At 40.5% G+C, this 26,763-nt stretch overlaps 1 long non-coding RNA gene across 2 annotated transcripts in view; it reads right to left on the reverse strand.

Moving 5' to 3' along the window:
- LOC105375567 (uncharacterized) overlaps window positions 1–14,089 on the reverse strand; it is a 58,167-nt gene extending 44,078 nt beyond the window's left edge. For both annotated transcript variants that reach the window (XR_928171.3, XR_928169.3), the window contains exon 1: window positions 13,968–14,089. This is a non-coding gene — a long non-coding RNA (uncharacterized LOC105375567). The remainder of the gene's footprint in view (window positions 1–13,967) is intronic.
- Window positions 14,090–26,763: the final 12,674 nt, after the last annotated feature.

Consider the following 26,763-nt stretch of genomic DNA (forward strand, 5'->3'; position numbering starts at 1 on the left):
GCCCTTGTGAGCGGGAGACAGGAGAGAAGAGAGGAGAGAAGATGCCACACTGCCGGCTGTGAAGATGACAGAAGGGGCCACAAGCCAAGGAATGTAAGCGACCTCTAGAAACTGGAAAAGACAAGGAAACAGATTTTCCCCTAGAGCCTCCATTAGGAACAAGGCCCTGAAGACCTCAGATGGTAAGAGAATACAATGGTGTTGTTTGAGGCCACTAAGTTTGTGGTACTGTGTTTATAGCAGCCACAGGAGCTAATACAATGGATGTGGAGTTTTCTATCATGGGGAACCACTGACAGAGGAAAGCAGACAAGCGAACAGATGGGGGATCTCACACTGTCCCTCCCAGCCCTGCTCAGAGCTCAGTCACCCACAGCCAGCCGCAGAACCAGGAACCAGTGACAGGGAGGCAGGAACAGGGGAGTCAGGTCATGTGGGGCAGGGTCCTGGATCTTTTCAAACTGGACAATTCAATAGAACAGATTCCAGCCTTTCTCTCCCTCCAAGAAGACAGAAAGGAAGGGTGTGCGTGGTTTTGATAAACATTTCAAGGGGGTGCAGGACACCAGAGGCTCAGGGGCTCCTTTACACACTGAGATGTGGGTGTATGACTGTCATCACCCACCATACCAAGGGCAGCTAGAAGACCAAAGGCATTGCTTACTTTACCTGGGTGATTTTTCATAGTTGTTTGTTGGTGTTGTGCATTCAGCGGGCACTCAGCAGTCCTTGTTGAGTGACTAACGGCTGAGAGCCTCAGAAATACAAGCCTCAAGTCACATTCTCACTTCCCTGCCCTGTTGAGTCTTTGCACTTTGCCCCACATAATTATTCTGGCCATTCCTGTGGCCACCACAGTGCCATCTCCCAACACCATCCACCCCTAACAAGATGGCAGAAGGACCTGACTTCACCCCTGAGAAAGCAGCCCCAAGAATCCCAGGGCCCCTTCCCTTCCTCCCAGGCCCCATCTCTAATGGTCCTAACAGGTACTACTTTCCCCCTCCTCCCCTGAGGCCCCGGCTTCTACTTTTCAGCATTTCTCACTGTTCCTCCTTCCCTTAAGCAGAATGTAACTGGCCTGGGACACAAAGACAAGGAAGATGAAGTCCCCGACCTCAAGATGTCCACAGTCACAGGGGTGACAGCCCAGAGCGACAGACAGGGAGGGACAGACAGGGAAGCCTGAGGGCTCCTGTACCGAGGCGGGGATGTCCTCGGATGCTCATCCTCTGTTTCCTAATAAAAACTGGAAGTACTCAGAAGGCTGAAGCAGGAGGATTGCTTGAGCCTAGGAGTCCAAGCCTACAGCCTGGGCAACATTGCAAGACCCTACCTCTTAAAAAAAAATGCAAGCCTGGTCTAACCCTCAAGTAGGCAGAGCTTGGTCCCCGTGGACTCACTCAATGATTGTCCATGTGCGACTCTGCCATTCCCAAGCACATAGCCTCCCCAGGCCTGGAAGGTCAGCTCTGCCTGGGTGGTGAATTCTCCCTGAGCACCACGTACACTCACGTGAGAGGGCTACTGTCCCTGTTGTCTGACCCTCCTCAACAGGGAGAACTGAGAGCAGCAGGTATTCCCCACCCAAGTCCCAACTATGACCCAAGAGTGGGAGACCCAGAAGACAGGCAGTTCAGGAATCTCCATGATCAGCCTGGCTCACCTCTGAAAACTCGGATGCCCCAAGAATCCCTGAGTGGAGATGGACGGCATGGCCCAGGCAGCCAGTGGGCCTTCCCTGAGAGTGACTGACCAGCACTCATAGGGCATAAATAGGACAAGGTCTCTGTTAGCTGGTGGAGCTCAGTAAGAGTGATGTCAACCAAGAAGTCCTGGGGCTTGGAGTTGTTTCATCAAGACTGCTGGTGGCCTCTGCCTAAACCTCCAGTTGGGCCAGTGGACCAAGCCCTCCACAACCTGCCCCTCTACCTTTGGGAGCCTTTAAACCTTTCCTCTTAAGCTCCCTGCAGAACCATTCCCTCTGTCCCTTCAATGTAGGAGGAGACCTCAGCTAACATCTAACCCAGAGCTCACTCTGATGCAGACCCCTGCACGCCAGGACCGGCACATAGCTTGTGGGCCTCAAATGATAATGCAAGCCCTTGTTTCAAAATTATTAAGAATTTAAAGGTGTTGACAGCAGAGAGTGAAACCCCAGGCTAAGATACCAGCCCCAAGGAGCTGGTCCTGCCGTCTGCTCCCACTACCCACCTCGGCCATGGCCCTGAGGTGGCAGCTATTTCCTGGGCTGTGTTTCTAATAGTAATGCATTGCAGCAAGAGAGCACATAATCTTCTCCTCAAAGCATGTTCTGCTTCTCAAAAGCAAATAAATATGTATTAAATCAATATGCCAGTTATAGTAAATGTTTCATTTACCACCAAATTCAAGCTTATGCAAATTAGAGCAATTGCACACTTAACCCTAAGTTATCTTGGCAGTAAACATTTTTACAAAAAATACGTGATTAGCTAAATGCTTTTCTCAACTGTAAGTTCCTGAGGGACTAATCCTAAACTCTTGGCCAACTACGAGCTGTTTCTCAGAACATATATACTAATTGTCTCATTAATCTCTCCTCTTAATTTGCTGTGCCTCTCCCAGTTAGGGGGAGACATTCATAATTTTTGGTCATACATTTGGTAATTGACCTGCTACTTTGGACTGCATGGATTCCCCATCCTGGGGCCACTTCAAGGTGGCTACATCCCATAACCTGGAATTTCTAATGGCTAAGGCCAGGATGAACCTGATATCTCATGAAAACATATCAGGTGTATAAAGACAAAATACCATTTGACCCAGCAATCTCATTACTGGGTGTATGCCCAAAGGAATATAAATCATTCTATTATAAAGACACATGCACACCTATGTTCACTGCAGCACTATTCACAATAGAAAAGACATGGAATTGGCCAGGTGCAGTGGCTCACACCTGTAATCCCAGTACTTTGGAGGGGCCAAGGCGGGCAGATCACAAGGTCAGGAATTTGAGACCAGCCTGGCCAATATGGTAAAACCCCATCTCTACTAAAAATATAAAAATTATCCAGGCGTGGTGGCAGGTGCCTGTAGTCCCAGCTACTTGGGAGGCTGAGGCAGGAGAATCGCTTGAACCCAGGAGGCGGAGGTTGCAGTGAGCCGAGATCACGCCACTGCACTCCAATCTGGGCGACAGACATGGAATCAACCTAAATACCCATCAGTGATAGACTGGATGAAGAAAATGTGATATATATACACCATGGAATACTAGTCTGCCATAAAAAAAGAATGAGATCATGTCCTTTGCAGGGATACAGATGGAGCTGGAGGCCATTATCTTTAGCAAACTAACACAGGAAACCAAAATACCTTATGTTCTCACTTATAAGTGGGAGCTAAATGATGAGAACGCATAGAGGAGAACAACACACACTGAGGCCTGTTGGAGAGTGGAGGGTGGGAGGAGGGACAGGACCATGAAAAATAATAATGGGTACTAAGCTTAATACGTGGGTGATGAAATAATCTGTGTAACAAACCCCCATGATGCAAGTTTACCTATGAAACAAACCTGCACATGCACTGTGAACTTAAAAGTTAAAAAAAAAAAAATATTAGGTGTAGATGTCTGATCCAAGAACTTAGTCAGGATGTTAAAAGGTTGCCTGCTAAACCCTCATGCTTATTTGCTAGAGCATCCAAGGATTGGTTTGCAAAACTCACAAGATCCCCCGTCACTGCCTGAGAGCTGATTCCACGTTACAGTTATCCATTGCTACATAACAAGCCACCTCAACTCAGTGGCACAAAACAACAACTATTTTATTATGCTCATGAACTCAATGGGACAAGGATTCCGACAGGACACCCTGGAGATGGCTTCTCTCTGATCCATGATGTCTGGGGCTTCAGCTGGGAGGACTCGGAAGCTGATAGCATCTTGGATGCTAATACTGGAGGCAGCAATTGTCTGGCAGCTTTTTCCCTTACATGTCTGGCATCTGGACTGGTCTGTGCTCAACTAGAACTGTAGACCAAGCACCTATGTGTGGTCTCCCCACGGGGCTGGGGCTTCCTCACAGCATAGTGGTCTCAAGTAATCAGACTCTTGCATGGAGGCTCAGGGCTTCAAGATGGGTGTTCTCACACACAAGAAGGAAGCCGCATGCCTTTTATGACCTAACTTCAGAAATCCCATGACTATTTCTGCCATACTCTATTGGTCAGTGGTCACCATTGCACCCAAATGGAAAGGAAGAAGACATAGACCCCACATCTCAATGGGAGGACCAGCAAAAAAGTGAGAGGGGCCATGGTTCAGAACTGCCACTCCATGACTCATTTCCTTTATAGTAAAGGCAGCTCTACCTCTGCTGAAGCTGCAATCATGTTTCAAAAGTCTTTGGTTCCAGCCTCCGAAGTTTTCTACACCTTGGAGCAGTGTCTCCAGTTTACCTTCCACTTTAGAAACTCCTTATATTCTGCTGTCAAGGTAAAAATGTTCTCCTTTCACCACAATATCCATATTTGCCAGCAAAACAGAACATGCTCTTGATGGAAAACAGCTTTCCTCTCTCATCCTAGTTTTGATCATTAAGCTGCCTGTAGTGGCTGTGTCACAAAAGATTCCGAATTCACAACCAGGCTCAGTAAATAACAACGCCATAGTGAATTCGAAACCTCTGCTGTGGTGTGGGAGGAGAGAGTGGTATATGTATGTCCTGTTCTTGTCATTTCAGAAAGGCACCAGCCTTATTATCAAATATGACCTCCAGCGATGCATCAGGACTACTCAGCCCTGCAGCAGAGTCTTCTTTCACAGTGTCATAGCCTCACTCATTAGAATGTGTGAACACGCATTCACAACTTACATGTCTGTGATGACTCAACTCTTTCATTCATTCAACGAACACTTAACTAAATGGCTATGGATTAGATCCTGCTGTAGGTTTTGGGGATACGAAGATGAAAGACATAGTCTCTGGTTTCTAGAAGCTTGTTTTTCTGTAAGAAAAAGTCACGTAAAGAATAACTCAAGAATAATGGAGAAAGTCCCTCCTAATTCATTCAAGGAAAGTCACAGAAAACTTTAAAAAGGAAGTAGAGTTTGAGCTTTAACATCAACTGAAGGGAGAAGGACATTCTGGACAGCGGTCTGCACAGAGGCACCGAGCTATCCCAGGGACATCAAGTGCCCCATATTCTGTGGTTCCTGAAGTGTCTGCTGTCCTAGAAGAACCACATGCAGCACAGACTGACCACCCAACTGTGGTCCAGCTGGATAAGGCCACTTGCAGGTGACAATCCAAGAAACAGGACCCCAAAAAAGAGACTGGAAGCTACCCTAAATCCAATTCCTTGCACACTGCTCCAAAACCTCAGGGGATTATTTAATCTACCTCCTTTCCAGTCACCCTGGTCATAGACCTTGTTGCTTTCTAGTGACAGTGACCATGCACCCCGAAGATTTGCTCAGCCTCTCAGTGGCCCCTCAGCTCCCACCCACAAATCAGAGGCTGAAATTCACCCATGGCCACCCTGCTTATTCCCAGTTCTAATGAAAGAGGAGTTTCTGGATATTACCAGACAATGCTTCCACCACAATGGGATTTAATAATCAAGAACTGGCAGCAGTGCACATCCAAAGGCTGGGCCTCAAAGCAGATCTGTGACATCAAGGCCTCGCTCCTCTCCCTGTGGCCCGACCCTGTTGGGAAGGGGGAAATTGTCAAAAACCACACAACCTTCCAACCACACTGCAACAGGGCTCCTTCACAACTAGGAGGAAAAGCCCCAGGCCACAACATTCAAAAGCCCCTGTGCTTCCCACCAGCTTCGGTGGAATGAGCCTTCCCTGTCCATCCCCAAGAGCACTTGTCCACTCTTGTTCCTGTGTTCCTACTGCCCCTAGTTCTCACCCCGTTGCCCTCTGTTGATTTGTGATGCTTATTTCTCAGCATCCATTTCTATGTTTTCTTTGCTGCCCTTCTCTATCCCAGCAGTGTCAACCCTGGCTGTGCACCAGAGTCACCTAGAGAGGCTTCTTAAGGATCCCAGTGTTGTGCTGCTTCGTGCCACACCAGTCATATCAGAATATCCAAGGGTGGTCCTGAATACTGTGTTTTTGGGAAGCTCTAAAGATCATTCTGAGAGAGGAGCCAGGTTTGAAAACACCACTTTTTTTTTTTTTTTTTTTTTTTTGGTTTTTTTTTAGACAGAGTCTCACTCTCATTGCCCAGGCTGGAGTGCAATGATGCGATCTTGGCTCACTGCAACCTCCGCCTGCCGGGTTCAAGCGATTCTCCTACCTCAGTCTCCCGAATAGCTGGGATTACAGGCACTTGCTATCATGCCTGGCTATACTCTTAACGTGTACAAAAAAACTTGTTTCTTGTCCCTTCTCTGAGCCCAGAGCAATAGTTTAGGATGTCAATAGCTGAGTTTGATGGTGACATTTAACAGTAGTGTTGTAACAGGTGTTTAAGCTCTAAGACCAATCATAGAGCTTGTGCACTTGAGCTCAGAAAAGTTACAGACAGTAAGGGACATCCTAAAGATCCAGGAAAGGCTGGAATTTGTCCCCTCTCTCTGTGTCACTGTGAATGACCTGTGTTCTATTGACTTGCTGCTGCCCACGCAGGATCTGGACTAGGTTTTCTAGTTGGGTTTCAAAGTATTTGCCCCAAGGCCAGGTGCAGTGGCTCATGCCTGTAATCCCAGAACTTCAGGAGGCTCAGGCATGCAGATAGCTTGAGCCCAGGAGTTTGAGACCAGCCTAGGCAACATGACAAGACCCAGTCTCTACAAAAAATACAAAAATTAGCTGCGTTGGTGGTGCATGCATGTAGTCCCAGCTACTTGGGAGGCTGAGGTGGGAGGATTGCTTGAGCCCGGGAGGCAGAGGTTACAGTGAGCCGTGATTGTACTACTGCACTCCAGCCTGAGCAACAGAGTGAGACCTTGTATCAAAAAAAGGTCTTTGCCCCAGCCATGATCCTAACCCAGCATCCCAATATCACCACAGCCTTCACTGAGCCCCTGCTGAGATGGAAACTTGTCCCCAAGAAAGGAAGTATGGAAATAAGTAGGAGGTAGGGGGGAACTGAGAGCACAGCCTGAATATTCTGAGTTCCCTGTAGCTGCTGGCCTGGCTGTACATTGAGAGGCAATACAGATACAGGTGATGGTTTAAAGGATAGCTCAGGAATCACTCAGATCTCTGTCTCCCTCTTCACATGGCTGGCTTGCCTGGGTGTCTCTGTGTCTTTGCATTTCTCCTTTTATAAGGACACTAGTCATTGGGTTTAGGGCCCACCCTACTCCAGTAGGACCTCATTTTAACTCAATTACATCTGCAAGACTCTAATTCCAAATAAGGTTACGTTCATGGGAACTGGGGATTAGGACTCAAATATATCTTTTGAGGGGGTCACAATTTAGCTCACAATACAAATCTTTTCTATATCTCTACATTTCAGGGAAAGAAATGGACACAGAATTCTAGACAGTCTCACCAGGACTGAGAACAGCCATTTCCCAAGTCACTGGACTCATGGGAAATATGATGGACACTTCCTTAACCTCTATTATATTTCCCTCCTAATGTATCTTCCTGTTCTGCAGCAACTAGAAAGTTAAACTCTCCATTTCCCAGATTGTTTTATATCTAAAGCTCTGTATAGAATTAGTTTCTACCAATCAGGAGCATTTGAGCAAGATCTGGAAGATGAAAGGGATACTGAAACTGCCTTTCTGCCCTTGATGCTGCTGTGTTTGCAGGCGAGGTCAAGGAGTGGCAACAGCATTCCAGTCCCCAGCTTCCCAGGCCTAGAAAGGCAGGGACTGGCAGAATGATCATGCACTTGTGTGTGCTGCAGGGCCCATTCTCCTAGGAACCTGGCCTCCCAACTTGGCCTCCCAACACTTTAGGAAGCTGAAGCAGGAAGATCGCTTAGCCCAGGAGTTTGAGATCAACCTGATCAAAATAAAGAGAACTTGTCGCTTCAAAAAAAAAAATAAAAAGGTTTTTTTTAATTAGCCAGGCATGGTTGTGCACACCTATAGTCTCAACTGCTTGGGAGGCTGAGGCAGAGAATGGCTTGAGCCCAGAAGTTCAAGGCTGCAGTGGAGCCATGATCACACCACTGCACTGCAGCCTGGGTGACAGAGTGAGACCCTGTCTCAGAATAAATACATTAATTAAATAAAACCTCACATATAGAGTTGACTTTTGATGAGATTACCAAAACAATTCAATAGCAAAATAGACTTTCAACAAACAGTGCTGGGACAACTGGATATACACATGTAAAAGAATGAAACCGGAACCCTAGTATTTATCATATATAAAAATTATCTCAAAATGAATCAAAGACCTAAATGTAACAGCTAAAACTCTTAGAATAAAATGTAAGCATAAATCTTCACGACCTTGCCAATTTTAGGCAATGATTTCTGAGATATAACATCAAATGCCCAAGCAACAAAAGAAAAAAATGATAAAATAAACTTCATCAAAATGTAGAAACCTTTGTGCTTCAAAGGATATCATTAAGAAAATGAAAAGACAACCCACAGAATGGGAGAAAATACTTGCAAATCATATATCTGATATGGGTAACCCAATTTAAAAATGGGCAAAGGATCTGAACAGACATTTCTCCAAGGAAGATACATAGTAACCAATATCACATGAAAAGTTGCTCAACATCATTAGTCATAAGGGAAATGCAAATCAAAACCACAATGGGATACCACTTCATCCCCACCAGGATGGCTGTAATCAGAAAGACAGATAACAACAAGTGTTGGTGAGGATGTGGTGAAATTATAAACTTCATACATTGCTGGTGGGAATATAAAATAGTGCAGCTACTTTGGAAAACAGTCTGGCAGTTCTTCAAAAGGTTAGACAGACTACTATAGAATACAGAAATTTCACCCCAGGTATGTGTCCAAGAAATATGAAAATGTGTCCATACAAAAAGTTGTACATGAATGTTTATAGCAGCATTATTTATAATAGTCAAAAAGTTGAAACAAAACAAATATCCAATAACTGATGATTAAATAAACAAAATGTCATATATCCATACAATGGAATATCATTCTGCAATAAGGAAAAATGAAATATTGATACATGCTACAACATGGATGTACCTTGAAAACATTAGCTAAATGAAAGAAGACAAATGCAAAAGACCATGTAGTATATGATTCTACTTATTTGAAGTGTTCATAATATACAAATCCATAGAGGCAGAAAGTAGATTAGTGGTTGCCATGGTCTGGGAGGATTGGGGAGAATTGGATATAGAGTTTCTTTTAGAGGTAATGAAAACATTCTAAAATTGGTTGTGACAATAGATTTAATAAATCTATAAATTGTATAGTATGTGAATTGTATATCAATAAAGCTGTGATATTTTAAAAAGGATATGTTTCAGTATTTGCTGTTAAGTGATAAAGGCAAGTCACAGAATAATAAACATTGTAGAATTCTATTTATATAAACAAAAAACACACTTCCATATGTGTTTTAATGTTTTATGAACATTTACTCATATATTGTTTTTGTAATCTTTAAAAAATTTAATTACAAAAATGTAGCCATCCTAATATATAACAAAATAGAATTCATAGCCAGGAAATATCAAAAGAGATAGAGATATGTTATATCTATAGATGAAAAGAAACTCAAGAAGCATATCAGCTAATTCTAAGGTATGAATCTCATTAGGATCCTAATTTAAGTAAAGAGAATAGAAATATTTATAAGACAATTGGAAAATTAGAACACTGGATATTTGATGGTATTAAGAAATTATTGTTAATTCTTTAGGTTTGATAGGGTATTATGATTATGCTTAAAAAGAATTCCTTATCTTTTATAGATAGATGCTAGTGTATTTACTTTTTAAATGATATTATGTTTGCCATTACCTCAAAATAATCCAGTAGAAGGGGTGTGGAAGAGTTTGTGTAGTATGGATAAAATAAGAGTAGCCATGAGTAGTTGAAGCTGGATGATGGATTTGAGAGGGTTCATTATATCCTTCTCTCTACTTCTGTATCAGCTTGAAAGAGGTATAGTATATCTTGATGAAAGAAACAATAGACAAAGAAGATACAACATGCATAACATATATGCATCTAACAACATAATCTCAAGCAAGAAGAAGAAAACCAACAACATTGCTGATTTTAGTACATAAATCTCAGAACTGATAGATCAAGTAGACAAAAAAAGCAAAGACATAGATTATCTAAATAAGACATTTAATAAACTCATATTTGTATATAACCCTCCACAAACCAAAGAATGCATGTGTATATTGTGTACATATAACATTCACATAAACTGACCAAATAATGATTTTAAAAGAAGTCTCAAATTCTAAAGAATTGAAAGCATACAGACCATGTTCTGAGACCATAATGTAATGAAATATATGAATAAATAAATAAAAAAACCGTGCTCTTTGATAGTATGGCTTAACATTGTAAAGATATCCATCCTCCTCAAATGTTTTTTATAATTCCAATCCCAATCAAAATCCCAACCAGAATTTTTTAGGGGTTAATGAATTTATTCTAAAACATATGAAAAATGGGTTCACAAATGGTGAAATCATTTTTCAGAAAGAAGGACAAAGAAGTGAGACTGGTCCCATCAAATATTAAGTTACACTATAAAGCCATGGAAATTTTTTTAATCATGGTATTGGCTCAAGAGTAGACCAACAGACCAACAGAACCAAAAAGAGCTCAGAGACTCATGAATATAAGGGAATTACGAAGAAACAGGAAAAAACTGACTGTTTAGTAGGTTATAGTGGGGAAAAGCTCCCATAATATGGAGAAAAATAAAACTGCATCCTTACCTGATATAATATACAATGAACTTCAGCAAGAGTAAGAATCTATACATAAACAGTGAAACTAAAAATGTAGGAAAATATTTGTGACCTAAAGGTGGAAATTTTCTTAAACAAGACCTAAAAATCATAAACCACAAGGTAAAAAAATATGTAGATTTGATTTCATTAATATTACAGGTTTCTATTCAACAAAGGAATCCATAGTCAAAGTTGAGAGGGAGAAGATACTTTCAACATCTCAAACTGACAAAGAATTCATAATTAGAATATATAGGAAACTTCTGCAAATCTGTAAGTAAAAGTCAGAAACCCATTCTATAAATGGCAAAGTATAGAAGCAAGTAATTCATAGAAAAAACAAATTAATAACAAATATATCAAGAGATTATCAAAATTAGAAAATTATCTAGTGCCAAATATAAGCAGGGCTTTCAGAAACACAAACATGGGTCTAAGGTGGGTTTTGTGCCTTTGGAAATGTGGACTGATGAAGCCTCTCTGTAACATAGCCTGCATGTACTTGGTGAAATTGAACATACATACATCCTATGACTCAGAAAGCCCACTACAAATTATACCTAATTGAAAGAAATTCTCCCCCAGGACTATGAAGGGATGAGAACAAGGATGTTCGTCATAGCATTTGTCATGGCAGTGGGAGTTGGAGGCAAATTCAGTATCCATCCTTGGAGGAATGGATGAGTCAAATGGACTGAATGTACACCATGAAGTACCAAGAAACATGCTGTACTTGTTGGGTTCTCAAGGAAGCAGACACTGAGATGCTGAAATGGAGTTAGATTTATTGTGGAGCTAACACCTGGGAAAGAAAAGGAAAAGAGGCCAGAACTAAGATGGCCTGAGGAAGGAATCCTGTAGGGGGTAGAGATGGTCCAGACTTTGAACTGCCACTCGGCTCAGTCATTGACTGGGGACCACCCAGAGAAGAGCAGAGCCTCACTCAAAAGCTAAGATAGACCCTGAAGAATCTAACAGCTTGAGCCATCAGCTGACCCCACACACACATGCACACACACAAGCACGCACGCACACACGTGCACACACACACACGCACACACACACATGCACACACACTCTCACACACACACGCACACGCACACACACACAAACAGCCATTGGGGAAATCCAAATTAAAGCCACATTGAGATGTCTCTACACACAAATTAGGAAAGTTAAATTTAAAAATGGTGATAATACCAAATGCTGGAGAGGTTGCAGAGAAACTGAATCTCTTACACATTGCTGATGTAAATGAAAACATACTTTGTTAGCTTATAAAACTAAACACTCACTTACCGTATTACCCTGCAATGACATTTCTGGGCACTTATCCCAGAGGGATGAAAACTTACATTCAAACAAAAGCCTGTACGCTAATGTTCATAGTAGCTTTACTTATAACAGCATAGGAAACAGCCCAGATGTCTCTCAGTGGATAAATGGTTTAACGAACTCTGTCACAATAAAATACTATTCAGTCATGAAAAGGAATGAACGATTGATATATGCAACAACCAGCACAGACATCGCTAAGCATATGCTTAGTGGCGGAGAAAGCCAAACTCCAAATGTCACATGCAGTATGATTTCACTCGGATAGCATTCCCAAAATAAGAAAACAACAGAGATGGAGAAAAGGTTAGGGATTTCCAGGGGATGGGGATGGATTGGGGTGGTGGCATGGATGTTAATAAAAAGAGGTAGCAAGAGGGAGTTCTTTTGTGGTGTTGGAGCAGTTCTGCATCTTGACTGAGGCGCTGCTTACACAAATCCACACCTGACAAAAACACCTGACATAAACTTGCATAGAACTGTATGCACACACAAAACCACACACACAGAGAGAGACAGAGAGAGAGACAGAGAGAGAGAGAGATGAATGCAGGTTTAAAAGCAGTGAACACCGAATAACTTCTGTAGCCTAGTTAATAGTAGTGTGTACCTATGTGGATTTTCTGGTTTTGACATTGTACTCCAGTTATCTGTGTCTTAGTCCATTGAGGGTGTTATAACCAAACACGTAGCTAGGTGGCCTATAAACAACATAAGTTAATTTCTCACAGTTCTGGAGGCTGGAAGTCCAAGATCAAGGCCCTGGCAGCTTCAGTGTCTGGGGAGGGCCTGCTTCCTGGTGCATGGACTGGCCATCTTCCCACTGCGTCCTCACATGGTGGAAGGGACAAGAGAGTTTTCTGCGGTCTTTTTTTTTTTTTATAAGGGCATTAATCTCATTTGTGAGGGCACTGCCCTTGTGACCTAATCACCTTCCAAAGGCCCCATCTCCTAATGCTACCACTATGGAGATTAAGATTTCAACACATGAATTTGAGGGAGACATACTCAGTCCATTGCAAGATGTCACCATTAGAGAAATCCAGTTGAAGGTTCACAGAACTCCGTACTCTTTTTGCTACCTCTTGTGAGTTTATAATTACGCCAAAACTAAAAAGCTTTCTTAAAAATATATATACAAATTCTCAAGTAAAATATAGTAAACTTGTTACTTTTTCAGGTATTTGATGCCTTTATCTGTAAATTCTTTCAAAGGAAATATGGCATGAACAAATATTGAGACAGGGATGTTTCACCAACTCTCAACTCCCCTTATTCAAGGGTTGGATCATAATAACTACATCTAAGTAATCCAGAAATTATCATTTTACTGAAAACCACGAAGACTATGTAGATGGAGAGAGATGAAAGAAGTACTATTTTTAAATCTGCAGCTTTATATCAATATACATAAATACATACCAGATAACCATATTTTATAAGAATACATATATATTCAAGGGTATATGTCAAATTTTAAAAAGAAAGGGGATTTGGCGTGGTCCTATCATTATGAAAGGGGATTCGGCGTGTTCCTGTCCTTATTTTACTCATCATGTCATCCCCTATCGTCTACCAGGCGTCCAGGCGCTGAGGACCAACCTTCTCTTCCTCCTCTGGCTAAGAAAACAATCAGCTTTCCCAGAGCCACCGCTGTCTGGACGCTAGATGGCGCCGCTGAGCTCCCCCCACCCCCCGCCTTTCCCCCACCCCCCCGCCTCCTCCCCACCACCCCGCCCACACCTGCGGTTCCTGCAGAGGGGTTGCTCAGGTGACCGGGCCGTTTGGACCACTTGGTTCAAATTCAGGATCCAGGTAGATGCAGCTGGGGAAAGCAGGGAGGAATGGGAGGCTACAGACAGAATGACCACATGCGTGCCTTCCTGCAGGGCTTGTCTTCTCCAAAGCCCCTGGTCAGTCACATGTTTTACTTGGCTCCCTTCCTTCTTCCTCGCCTTCTCCAGACCCTCTAAGCATGTGCCTTTGTCTCTTCCCAAACCTCCTGAGTCGCCTGAGGCCCTCTGGTGGTTCAATTCTTTATTGGAAGAACAAGCAACATGTTTACCCCAAGGGTTTCCACGGAGAAATACAAACACGTCTATTATTGGCAAGAAAAGCAGCACTGATTTGTTGAAGAACTAGGGAATTGTTCTAATTCTGCAGATTAGTCTCTTCTTGTCTTTGGTTGAAGTAACACAACCATCTCCATAGAGGTTCCTAAGCATAGAGGAAGATTGTATTGTAACAATACAAGGCTGCCGTAACTATGTAATTGGCCATAATTGAAGACAAGAATGGTGGGAAGTATGGGTTTGCAATTACCTAATATTCCTGTCCTAACCCATTTCAGGAGATCTTGCTGCGAGGTGCATGTTACCCATATAACAGACCCTGGGAGTATACCCAGGAGCAGTGGTGCGGATCACAGAAGGGGCTTTAAGACGCCCCTGGTGTTCTATGGCCATTAGCTACCAGTAGGAGCAGCTGCACCCCTGGCTGACCACAGATGTGGCTGTCAAACACAGTGAGTTAACAAAGGACAGTGAAACAGGGGGACGTGCAAGTCAGAGGAGATGCCTGCTTCCTCCTAGATCCCCACCATTTTCCTGGCTTTCTACTCTATTCCCAAAAAGAAGACACACTGGGGTAGAGGGCTGAGGGGAATAATTCAGTCCACAGATGCAGTTTTCTCTCTTTTTGCTACCATGGTTCTGAATGAAGAGCTAATATTATACTATTCCCACCTGTGATGAGCCCCAGTCCTTTTGATTCTTTTTCTTCTTCATCATCCATCCAAACGTCCCCAAGTGGTAAACAGGCCAGCAAACCTGTTATCCTCTCTTCTGTCCCTTCCACACATGTTTTAGCTTTAGTGGAAGCTCACAGAATAACCCTCAATTATCTGTTGTGGTCTGTGGCATTACCTTCTTAAAGGAAAGCTGATGGGTTCTTTCAACAGGTTTGGGGTCCACTCCCAGCTAACAATTAGTGTGACCTTAGCCGAGCACAGTGTCTCACGCCTGTTATCCCAGCACTTTGGGAGGCCGAGGCGGGTGGATCACGAGGTCGGAGATCAAGACCATCCTGGCTAACATGGTGAAACCCCATCTCCACGAAAAATAGAAAAGAAAATTAGCTGGGCGTGGTGGCGGGCGCCTGTAGTCCCAGCAACTCATGAGGCTGAGGCAGGAGAATGGTGTGAATCAGGGAGGCTGAGCTTGCAGTGAGCCGACATCGCGCCACTGCAGTCCAGCCTGGGTGACAGAGCAAGACTCCATCTCAAAAAAAATTGTGTGACCTTGTTTTCCTTTACCATTGTTTCTAGTTGCCCAGGAATCTAGTGGGAAGATGTGGCTATGGTCTGGGGCAGGATATTTTGGGAAGCCTGGTGTCCAGGGATATTAGGCAAACAAACTTTTGCATTGCACTTAATATTTCAGAAACCCAGCTGAATAGCTCTTATTTTTATGGCACTAAGAAAGTAAATCTTAAATCTTTGCTCTTAACACCATTAAGACAAAATTATTATGAAAATTGGACAAAGTGCCTTATAGCAGCTGATATATTTAAAACATCAATGATTGTACCCTTAGCATTGTTTTATTTTTATTTTTTAAAATTATCTAAACATTGTTTCAAAGCTTGTGAAACTACTAAAAGACAAAGGATTGTAAATGTCAATGAAAGGAAAAGTAAAACAGCAAGTATTTTAGCATACGGGGGCAATCAAGTCATAAAGAAAAAGGGTTAGTAGCTCACTAGACAATAAATTATTATAAAGAAGAGCCAAGAAAAGTATTGCTTTGAAACTTTTTACTTTTAACCTTCAGCCTTACTGAAGAATTTGTTCACTATACTTTAAAAATTTATTATTCTGATCATATTTTCCTTGATTTAAGAGTAGTGTCTTCAACATTAGCTGATATACCTACTAATAGCATCCCACGTCCTACCATCATTTCTTACATCTGACATCTTCTGCTGTTGATCCATAGGTTAACAAAACAAAACAGAAACTACACACAGAAAGAAAAAGAAAGGGAAGAAAGAAAAAAGAAGGAAGAGAAAAAAGCAGAGACCACTTCCAGAATGATTGTATGAGGAGCTCTGCAGACCTGCTCCCCAGCAAAACACTTATATCTAGTTAAATGATTTTTAAGCATTTAAAGTCTCTGGAAATTGTTCCCAATAAGAACAATGAGAATCTATGACACTTGAGCCATGACTCACTTCCTCTCTCCTCCATCCCCCCAACTCACTTAACAGAAGCTCCACTCTTCATGGACTTAGCCAGGAAAACACAGCTCCCTCTCCATCCAGCTCCCAGTCAAGCAATACAATGGCTCCCCAGAAGAGGCAGGCCACCAGAATTCCTCAGCCCCCATTTTGCACAGGCTAAATTGTAGATGAGTGCAGCTGAGAGAATGGAAGCTTCTCTCCTCCACCCAGTCCCCACTCATAGGTGGAGACTACCCCAGGTGATGCAGGCTGAAATTACTGAAGCCCCAATTGCGTTTGGATCAGAGGTTCCATGCTACAACAGCAACCTGAGAAGACAAGAGGCTACTGCCACCACGCAGAGCCCTGCTCTGTAAAGCAGGAGGGCTCTGAGAGAAGCCAGCCACAGCCCCTACCCCCAGGTCTTGAGCAGTGACTCAAAGATTTTGCCCAAAGGAAGAGGTAGATCATAAGAACAGAGAGCACTGAAGCTCTCCCCCGACCCCCCAAGAAACTAACTTGATTTAAAACAGGATGTAGAGAAGTTCAAGCATAAGGGAACTCGCAAAAACAATGGAGATTTTGGTGGTAAACAATAAAGATAATGGGATAAACTATATGCCAGCCAGTTTACCAGAGAAAACAAAACAAATAGCTAAGAAGAGTCCTTCCACTGTCTGAACAAACCCCAAAGACTGGACTCAAAACAATCCTACAAAGGGACCCAAATTTATCTGGATCATACTGTGAAGCATTGCATACTCCAGGCATTGTAGAAAAACAATAGAAAATCAGCCAGTAATTAGTGTACCCTGACAGCTGGGTGTGATGCCAACAGAGACTGATGGCTTAGCAAAGAGATCAGGAAATGAGAAAATTAAAGAGAGGCCGGTTAAAACTTCTGTCACCCCAGATGACTGACTGTACATGTACCTAAGGCTGTGCCCTCTGAGGAGTGAAATCAGAGGCTTCACATTATGGGGAAATACACTTCACAAAATAGTCAAGCAAAGTCACTAAACAAATAAGCCAAAAACAACAAGAAGCCTTGGCCAGGAGTAAGGAGTACGTGGAGGGGAGGGCAGCATCAGTATCCAGAGTTGCTCCAATATATTATCTAAAATATGTTATCTAAAATGATCAGCTTTTAACAACAAAGCATTATGAGACATGCAAAGAAACAGAAAAGTATAACCCACAGAATAAAAAAACCCGGCAACAAAAACTCTGTGAGAGGGCCCAGATGGGGGAATTAACAGAGACATCAAAGCAGCTGTTATAAATATGGTCAAAGTACTAAAGGAAACTATGCTTAAAGAAGTGAATAAGGTTATGACAATGTCCACTCAAATAGAGAATATTAATATAAAAACAGAAAGTATTTTTTAAAAGAACCAAATGGAAATTCTGGAGTTGAGAAATATAATAACTAAAATGAAGAATTTGCTAGAGGAGCTGAGTAGTGGATTTGAACTGGAAGAAGAAAAAATCAGCAAACTTGAATACAGATCAATAAAGATTATGCAATTTGAAAAGCAGAGAGAAAAAAAGCAGAAAGAAAAATGAACAGAGCCTCAGAGAAATGTGTGACATTATTAAGTGTACCAAATATGCAAAATGGGAGTAACTGAAGGAGGAAGAGAGAGAAGAAAACAGAAAAAAAAATCTAAGAAATAATGCCTGAAAACTTCCCAAATATGATGGAAAACATTAATCCACATGTTCAAGAAGCTCAACAAGCTTCAATTAGGAGAAACAAAAACAGATTTAACCCAGACACATCATCTTAAAAATGTTGAAAGCCAAAGACATAAAGAAAATATTGAAATCACCGAGAGAAAAATACTAGTCACATACAAGGGAACCCCAATGAGATTAACAATTGACTTTTCATCAGAAATAATGGAGGCCAGAGGCACTGAGATAACATATTTAAAGTGCTGAAAGAAAAAAAACTGTCAAGCAAGAATCTTATATCCAGCAATATTGTTTTTTTAAAAATGAAAGTAAAATAAAACCATTCTTAGATAAACAAAAACTAAGAGAATTCCTTGCTGGCATGCCACCTCACAAAAAATAGCAAAATAAATTCTTTAGGCTGAAAGCAAATGGCCTAGACAGTAACTTAAACCCACAAACAAAATTTAAAGAGCACCAATGTAGATAATTTTGTAATTATAAAAACAATAGTGTAAATGCATATTTCTTCTTCTTTCTTTACTTAACTAATTTTAAAAGCAATTGTGGGCTCTGTGTGTGTGTGTGTGTGTGTGTGTGTGTGTATGTGTTTAAAATTGTATTGTTGGGTCTACACATATAGAAATGTATTTATTTTACAATAATAGCACAAAACCAGTAGGTGGGAGCAAAGCTGCACTGGAATAAGGAAATATCAGCTGATGGTAACTTGAATCCACAGGTACAATAAAAAGAGCCAAAAATGATAAATAAGAAGGTTAATATAACAAAATCTATAAATACATACTTGCTTTCCTTTCTTCTCTCAGCTTCTTTAAAAGGTACAGAATTCCATAAAGTAATAGTTATAACTATGTTATTTTGGGTTTGCAACATATATAGATATAATATGTATAACAATAATGACACAAAAGGAGAACAGAATATAGAGCTATACAAAAGCAGCATTTCTATAACTCGTTGGAATTAAGTTAGTATAATCTGAAGCAGATTCTGATAAGTTAAAATGTGTATGGTAAGGCCTAGAGCAACCACTAAGAAAATAACTAAAAAAAAAAATACAGATAAATGAGATTAACCAAGAAAAGAAGAGAGACTATCCAAATAAGCTCAATTAGAAATGAAACTGGAGATATTACAACCAATACCACAGAAATACAAAAATCATTCAAGGCTACTATGAATAGCTTTACACACACAAACTAGAGAATCTAGAGGAAATAGATAAATTCCTGGGAACATACAACTCTCCTAGAATAAATCAGGAAGAAATATAAACCCTGATCGGACCAATAACAAGTAGTGAGATTTCAACAGTAATAAAAAAAATTTCCAACAACAACAAAAGTTCAGGACTAGATGGATTCACAGCTGAATTCTATCAGACATTCAAAGAAGAATCAGTACCAATCCTACAGAAACTTTTCAAAAGATACAGAAAGAGGGAATCCTCCCTAAATCATTCTATGAAGCCAGTATCACCCGAATACCAAAACCAGGAAAGGACATAACAAAAAAAGAAAACTACAGACCAATATCCCTGATGAACATAGAGGCAAAAATCCTCAACAAAAATACTAGCTAACCAAATCCAACAGCATATCAAAAAGATAATCCACCATGATCAAATGGGTTTCATCCCAAGGATGCAGGGAATGTTTAGCATACTCAAGTCAATAAATGTGATCTCTCACATAAACAGAATTAAAAACAAAAATCATCTGATCATCTCAATAGATGCAGAAAATAATTTTATAAAATCCGGCATTGCTTTATGATAAAAACCATTAACAAAATAGGCATAAAAGGGACTTACCTCAAAGTAATAAAAGCCGTATATGACAAACCCACAGTCAACACCATACTGAATGGGGAAAAGTTGAAAGCATTCCCCCGATAAATGGAATAAGACAAGTATGCCCACTTTCACCACTTCTATTTAACATAGTACTAAAAGTCCTCGCCAGAGCAATCAGACAAGAGAAAAAATAAAGGGGATCCAAATTGGAAAATAGGAAGTCAAATTGTCGCTGTTCACCAATGATATGATCATGTACCTAGAAAACCCTAAAGACTCATCCAAAAACCTCCTAGATCTGATAAACAAATTCAGTGAAGTCTCAAATTACAAAATCAATGTACACAAATCAGTAGCACTGCTATACAGCAGCAACAACCAAGCTGAAAATCAAATCAAGAACTCAATCCCTTTTATAACAGCTGTAAAAATAAAATACTTAGGAATGTACTTACCCAAGAAAGTGAAAGATTTCTACAAAGAAAACTACAAAACACTGCTTAAAGAAATCATAGATGACACAAAAAAATGGAAACACATCCCACACTCATGGATGGAAAGAATCAATATTGTGAAAATGACCGTATTGCCCAAAGCAATCTACAGGTTCAGTGCAATTCCTATCAAAATTCCATCATCATTCTTCATGGAACTAGAAAAAACAAATCTAAAATTTATATGGAACCAAAAAAGAGCCCACATTGCCAAAGCAATACTAAGCAACAACAACAACAAAAAATCAGGAGGCATTACATTACCCAACATCAAATTATCCTGCAAGGCTATAGTTACCAAAATAGCATGATACTGGTATAAAAATAGGCAGGTATACCCACGTATACCAATGGAGCAGAATAGAGAACCCAGAAATAAAGCCAAATACTTATAGCCAACTGATCTTTGGCAAAGCATACAAAAACATAAACTGGGAAAAAAGAAACACCCTATTCAATAAATGGTGCTAGGAAAACTGGCAAGCTACATGTAGAAGAATAAAACTGGATCCCCATCTCTCACCTTATTCAAAAATCAACTCAAGATGGATCGAAGACTTAAATCTAAGACCTGAAACAATAAAAATTCTAGAAGATAGCATTGGGAAAACTCTTCTAGACATTGGCTTAAGCAAAGAATTCATGACTAAGACCCCAAAAGCAAATGCAACAAAAACAAAAATAAATAAATGGGACTTAATTAAACTAAAAAGCTTCTGTACAGCAAAAAATAATAATAATAATAGTCAGCAGCAGAGTAAACAGACAACCCAGAGAGTGGGAGAAAATATTTGCAAACGGTGCATCTGACAAAGGACTACTATTCAGAATCTACGAGAACTCAAACAAATCAGTAAGAAAAATTAAATAATCCCATCAAAAAGTGGGCAAAGGACATGAATAGACATGTCTCAAAATAAGATATACAAACAGCCAACAATCATGAAAATATGCTCAATGTCACTAATCATCAGGGAAATGCAAATTAAAGCCACAGTGAGGTACCACCTTACTCCTACAAGAATGGCCATAATTAAAAAGTCAAAACACAATAGATGTTCACATGGATGTGGTGATAAAGGAACACTTTTACACTGCTGGTGAGAATATAAATTAGTACAATCACTATGGAAAACAGTAAGAAGATTCCTTAAAGAACTAAAAGTAGAACTGCCATTTGATTCAGCAATCCCACTACTGGGTATCTACCCAAAGGAAACAAAAAAGTCACTATATGAAAAAAACATATGCACATGCATGATTATAGCAACACAACTTGCAATTGCAGAGAAATGGAACCATCCTAAGTGCGCATCGACCAACAAGTGGATAAAGAAAATGTGGTATATCTACACCAAGGAACACTACTCAGCCATAAAAATGAATGAAATAATGTCTTTTGCAGCAACCTGGAAGGAGCTGGAGGCCATTACTCTAAGTGAAATAACTCAGGAATGGAAAACCAAATGCCATTTGTTCTCACTTATAAGTGGTAGCTAAGCTATGAGGATTCAAAGGAATAAGAATGATATGATGGACTTTGGGGACTTGGGAGAGAAGGTTGAGAGGAGGATGAGGGATAAAAGACTACCTGTTGGGTAGTGTACACTGCTCGGGTGATGGGTGTGCTAAAATCTCAGAAATCACTGCTAAACGTATTCATGTAACCAAAAACCACCTGTACCCCCAAAAACTATTGAAATTAAAAAATAAGAAAAAGAAAAATATACAGACAAAAAAATTAATGGAATTAAAGTGTTACATTAGAAAATATTCACTTAATCCAAAAGAAAGCAATAAAGGAGGAATACAGGAAACAAAAGACATACAGAAAACAAATAGCAAAATGGCAGATATAAATCCAACTATATCAATAACAATGTTCAATGTTAAGGCATTAAACAATTTAATCAAAAGGCAGAGATTATCAAACTGGACACAAAAGCAAGATCTAACTATATTTTGTCTATATGAGATGAATCTTAGATTCAAAATTATAAATAGGCCAAAAGGCAAAGGATGGGAAAAGATATATCATACAAAAGTTACCATAAGAAAGCTGGAGTAGCTATACTAGTATTAGACAAAATAGACATTAAAACAAAAATGTTACTCAAGATAAAGAACATTTTACAATAACAAAAGGAGTTAATCCATCAGGGAAATATAATAATCATAAACATAAATGCACCTAATAACAGAGCTCTAAAATACATAAAACTAAACTAAAATAATTGAAAAGAGAAATAGACAATGTAAAAATAATAGTTAGGGACTTCAATTCCCTATTTTCAGTAAAGAACAGAACAACTAGGAAGGAGATCAACAAGACTACAGAAGACTGTTTATAAGCTAACTAGACCTAACAAATGTCCACAGAATACCCCACCCAATGAAAGCAAATTTTTCTCAAGTGCACATGGAACATTCTCTGGATAAACCATTTTCGGTTTTGTTGGTTTTTGTTGGTTGGTTTTTTTGAGATGGAGTCTCACTCTGTCGCCAGGCTGGAGTGCAGTAGTGTGATCTTGGCTCACTGCAATCTCTGCTTCCTGAGTTCAAGTGATTCCCCTGCCTCAGCCTCCCAAGTAGCTGGGACTACAGGCACGCACCACCACACCCAGCTAATTTTTTGTATTTTAATAGAGACAGGGTTTTACCATGTTGGCCAGGATGGTCTCAATCTCCTGACCTCATGATCCGCCCACCTTGGCCTCCTAAAGTGCCAGGATTACAGGTATGAGCCACCGCACCTGGTTGGATCAACCATTTTCTAGGCCACAAAAGAAGCCTCAATAAATTTCTGAGGGTTAAAATCATATAACATATGTTTTCTGACCACATGAAATAAAAGAAATCAATACAAAAAGAAATTTGAGAAATTCACAATAAGTTGAAATTAAACAACATATTCCCTAAATAACAATGGGTCAAAGAAGAAATCCCAAGAGAAATTAGAAAATCTTTGACATGAATGAAAATGAAGACACAATATATAAGACACAGTATAGGATGCAACTAAAGCAGTGCTTAGAAGAAAATTTATATCTATAAATAACTATGTTAAAAAAGAAGAAATTTTCTATCACTAAACTAACCTTCCACCTTAAAACACTAGAAGAGCAAACTCAGCGTAAAGCAAGCAGAAGAAAAGAAATAATAAAGATTAAAACAGAGATAAAGAGAACAGAAAAAAATAGAGAGCATCAATAATACCAAAAGTTAGTTCTTTGAAAAAAAATCAACAAAATGGACAAATCTTTAGCTAGATTGATGAAAGCTAGAGAGAAAGGCTCAAACTGTCAAAATCAGAAATGAAAAAGGGGACATTACTACATTACTACTGTTATGTGATGAAATGTGTCTCCCCCGATAAAAACAAAACTTATATATTGAAGTCCTAACCCCCAGTTCTTCAGAATGTGACTGTATTTGGACGCAGGACCTTGAAAGAGGTAATTAAGGTAAGTGAGGTAATTTGGGAGGACCTAATCCAAAATAATTGGTGTCCTTATTAAAAAAAAAAAGATTAAGACATAGACAATGCACAGCGTGAAGTTCACAGAGAGGAGATGGTCATCTACAAGCCAAGGAGAGAGGCCTGAGAAGAAATTAATTTCCAAGGACTTAATCTTAGACTTCTAGACTCCAGAATCATGAGAAAATACATTTCTTTCTTTTTTTTTTAGTTGAGACAGAGTCTTGCTCTGTCACCCAGGTTGGAGTGCTGTGGCGTGATCTCAGCTCACTCCAACCTCCGCCTCCCAGGTGTCTCATGCGTCAGTGTGAAGAGACCACCAAACAGGCTTTGTGTGAGTAACAAGGCTGTTTATTTCACCTGGGTGCAGGCGGGCTGAGTCTGAAAAGACAGTCAGCAAAGGGTGGTGGGATTATCATTGGTTCTTATAGGTTTTGGGATAGGAGGTGGAGTTAAGAGCAATGTTTTAGGGGCAGGGATGGATCTCACAAAGTACATTCTCAAGGGTGGGGACAATTACAAAGAAACTTCTTAAGGGTGGGGGAGATTATAAAGAACCTTCTTAAGGGTGGGGGAGATTACAAAGTACATTGATCAATTACGGTGGGGCAGAAACAAATCACAATGGTGGAATGTCATCAGTTAAGGCTATTTTCACTTTTGTGGATCTTCATTTGCTTCAGGCCATCTGGATGTATACGTGCAGGTCACTGGGGATATGATGGCTTAGCTTGGGCTCAGAGGCCTGACACCAGGTTCAAGCAATTCCCCTGCCTCAGCCTCCCAAGTAGCTGGGATTACAGGCATGTGCCACCACACCCAGCTAATTTTTGGGTTTTTTTTTGTTTTTTTTTTTTTGAGTAGAGACAGGATTTCACCATGTTGGCCAGGCTGGTCTCAAACTCCTGACCTCAAGTGATCTGCCCACCTCAGCCTCCCAAAGTGCTAGGATTACAGGCGTGAACCACTGCACCTGGCCAGAAAATAAATTTCTATTGTTTAAGCCACCCAATCTGTGATACTTTGTTATGGAGGTCCTAGCAACTAATGCACCAACTTTTCAGAAATAAAAATGATTATAAAACGATACTCTATGCCAGCAAATTAGACAACTTAGAAGAAATGAACATATTTCTAGAAAGACACTGCCAAGACCAGCTCGGTCGGGGAGACCCTAACCCAGTGGTACTAGAAGAATTAAAGACACACACACAAAAACATAGAGGTATGAAGTGGGAAATCAGGGATCTCATAGCCTTCAGAGCTGAGAACCCCAAACAGAGTTTACCCACGTATTGATTAACAGCAAGCCAGTCATTAGCTTTGTTTCTATAGATATTAGATTAACTAAAAGTATTCCTTATGGGAAACGGGATTAACTAAAGGTATCCCTTATGGGAAAGGAAGGGATGGGTCTGGCTTGTTATCTGCAGCAGGAGCATGTCCCTAAGGCCCAGATCTCTCATGCTATTGTTTGTGGTTTAAGAATGCCTTTAAGCGGTTTTCTGCCCTGGGTGGGCCAGGTGTACCTTGCCCTCATTCTGGTAAACCCACAACCTTCCAGCGTGGGCATTATGGCTATCATGAACATGTCACAGTGCTGCAGACATTTTGTTTATGGCCAGTTTTGGGGCCAGCTTATGGCCAGATTTTGGGGGGCCTGTTCCCAACAGACACAACTACTGAAGGTGACTCAAGAAGAAACAGAAAATCTGAATGGACCTATAACAAGTAAAGAGAATGAATTAGTCATGTTAAATTTCCCACAAAGGAAGGCCCAGATCCAGATGGCTTCAAATGGTGAATTCTACCAAATTCTAAAGTAGAATTAAGATCAATCTTTTACAAACACTTCCAAAAAATAAAAGAGAAGAGAGTATTTCTCAACTTATTCTATGGGGCCAGTATTATCCTACACCAAAACCAGACAAAGACATCACAAGAAATGAAAACTACACATCAATATCTCTTATGAGGCCAGTCACAGTGGCTCATGCCTATATCCCAGCACTTTGGGAGGCCGAGGAGGATCACTTGAGGCCAGGAGTTTGAAGCTGCAGTGAGCTATGATTGCACCATTGCACTCCACCCTGGGTGGCAGAGTGAGACCCTGTCTCTATAAAATATATGTATTATATTTTATAATAGATATAAATGTTATATATAGAGAGAGAGATCTTATTAATATAGGTACAAAAATCCTCAACAAAATACCAGCAAACAAAATTCAGCAGTATATAAAAAGGATTACACACCCGGACTAGCTGGGATTTATCCTAGGAATGCAAAGTTGGTTTAACATCCAAAGTTCAACTAATTTAATACATCATATCAGTAGAATAAAGGACAAAACCCACATGATCATTTCAATGGATTCAGTAAAACATTAAGTAAATTCAATACCCTGTCATGATGAAAACACTGAACAAACTAGGAATAGAAGAAACCTTCATCAACCTGATAAAGGGAATCCACCAAAAAAATTCACACACACACACACACACACACACACACACACACACAGCTGAGATCATACTTAATGAGGAAAGACTGAATGCTTTCCTGCTAAGATCAGAAATAAGATAAAAATATCTACTTTTATCACTTCTATTCAACATTGTCCCAGAGGTCCTATTCAGGGAAATTAGGGAAGAAAATTAAATAAGGGCTTTCAGATTGGAAAGGAAGAAGTAAACTATCTCTATTTGCAGAATGCAAGATCAAGATATAAACTGTAGGCTGGGCATAGTGGCTCACGCCTGTAATCCCAGCACTTTGGGAGGCCAAGGCAGTATGATCACTTGAGCCCAGGAGTTTGAGACCAGCCTGGGCAACATAGTGAGCCCCCTCTCT

Source organism: Homo sapiens, chromosome 7, assembly GCF_000001405.40.
Source record: "Homo sapiens chromosome 7, GRCh38.p14 Primary Assembly".
Taxonomy (NCBI): Eukaryota; Metazoa; Chordata; class Mammalia; order Primates; family Hominidae; genus Homo; species Homo sapiens.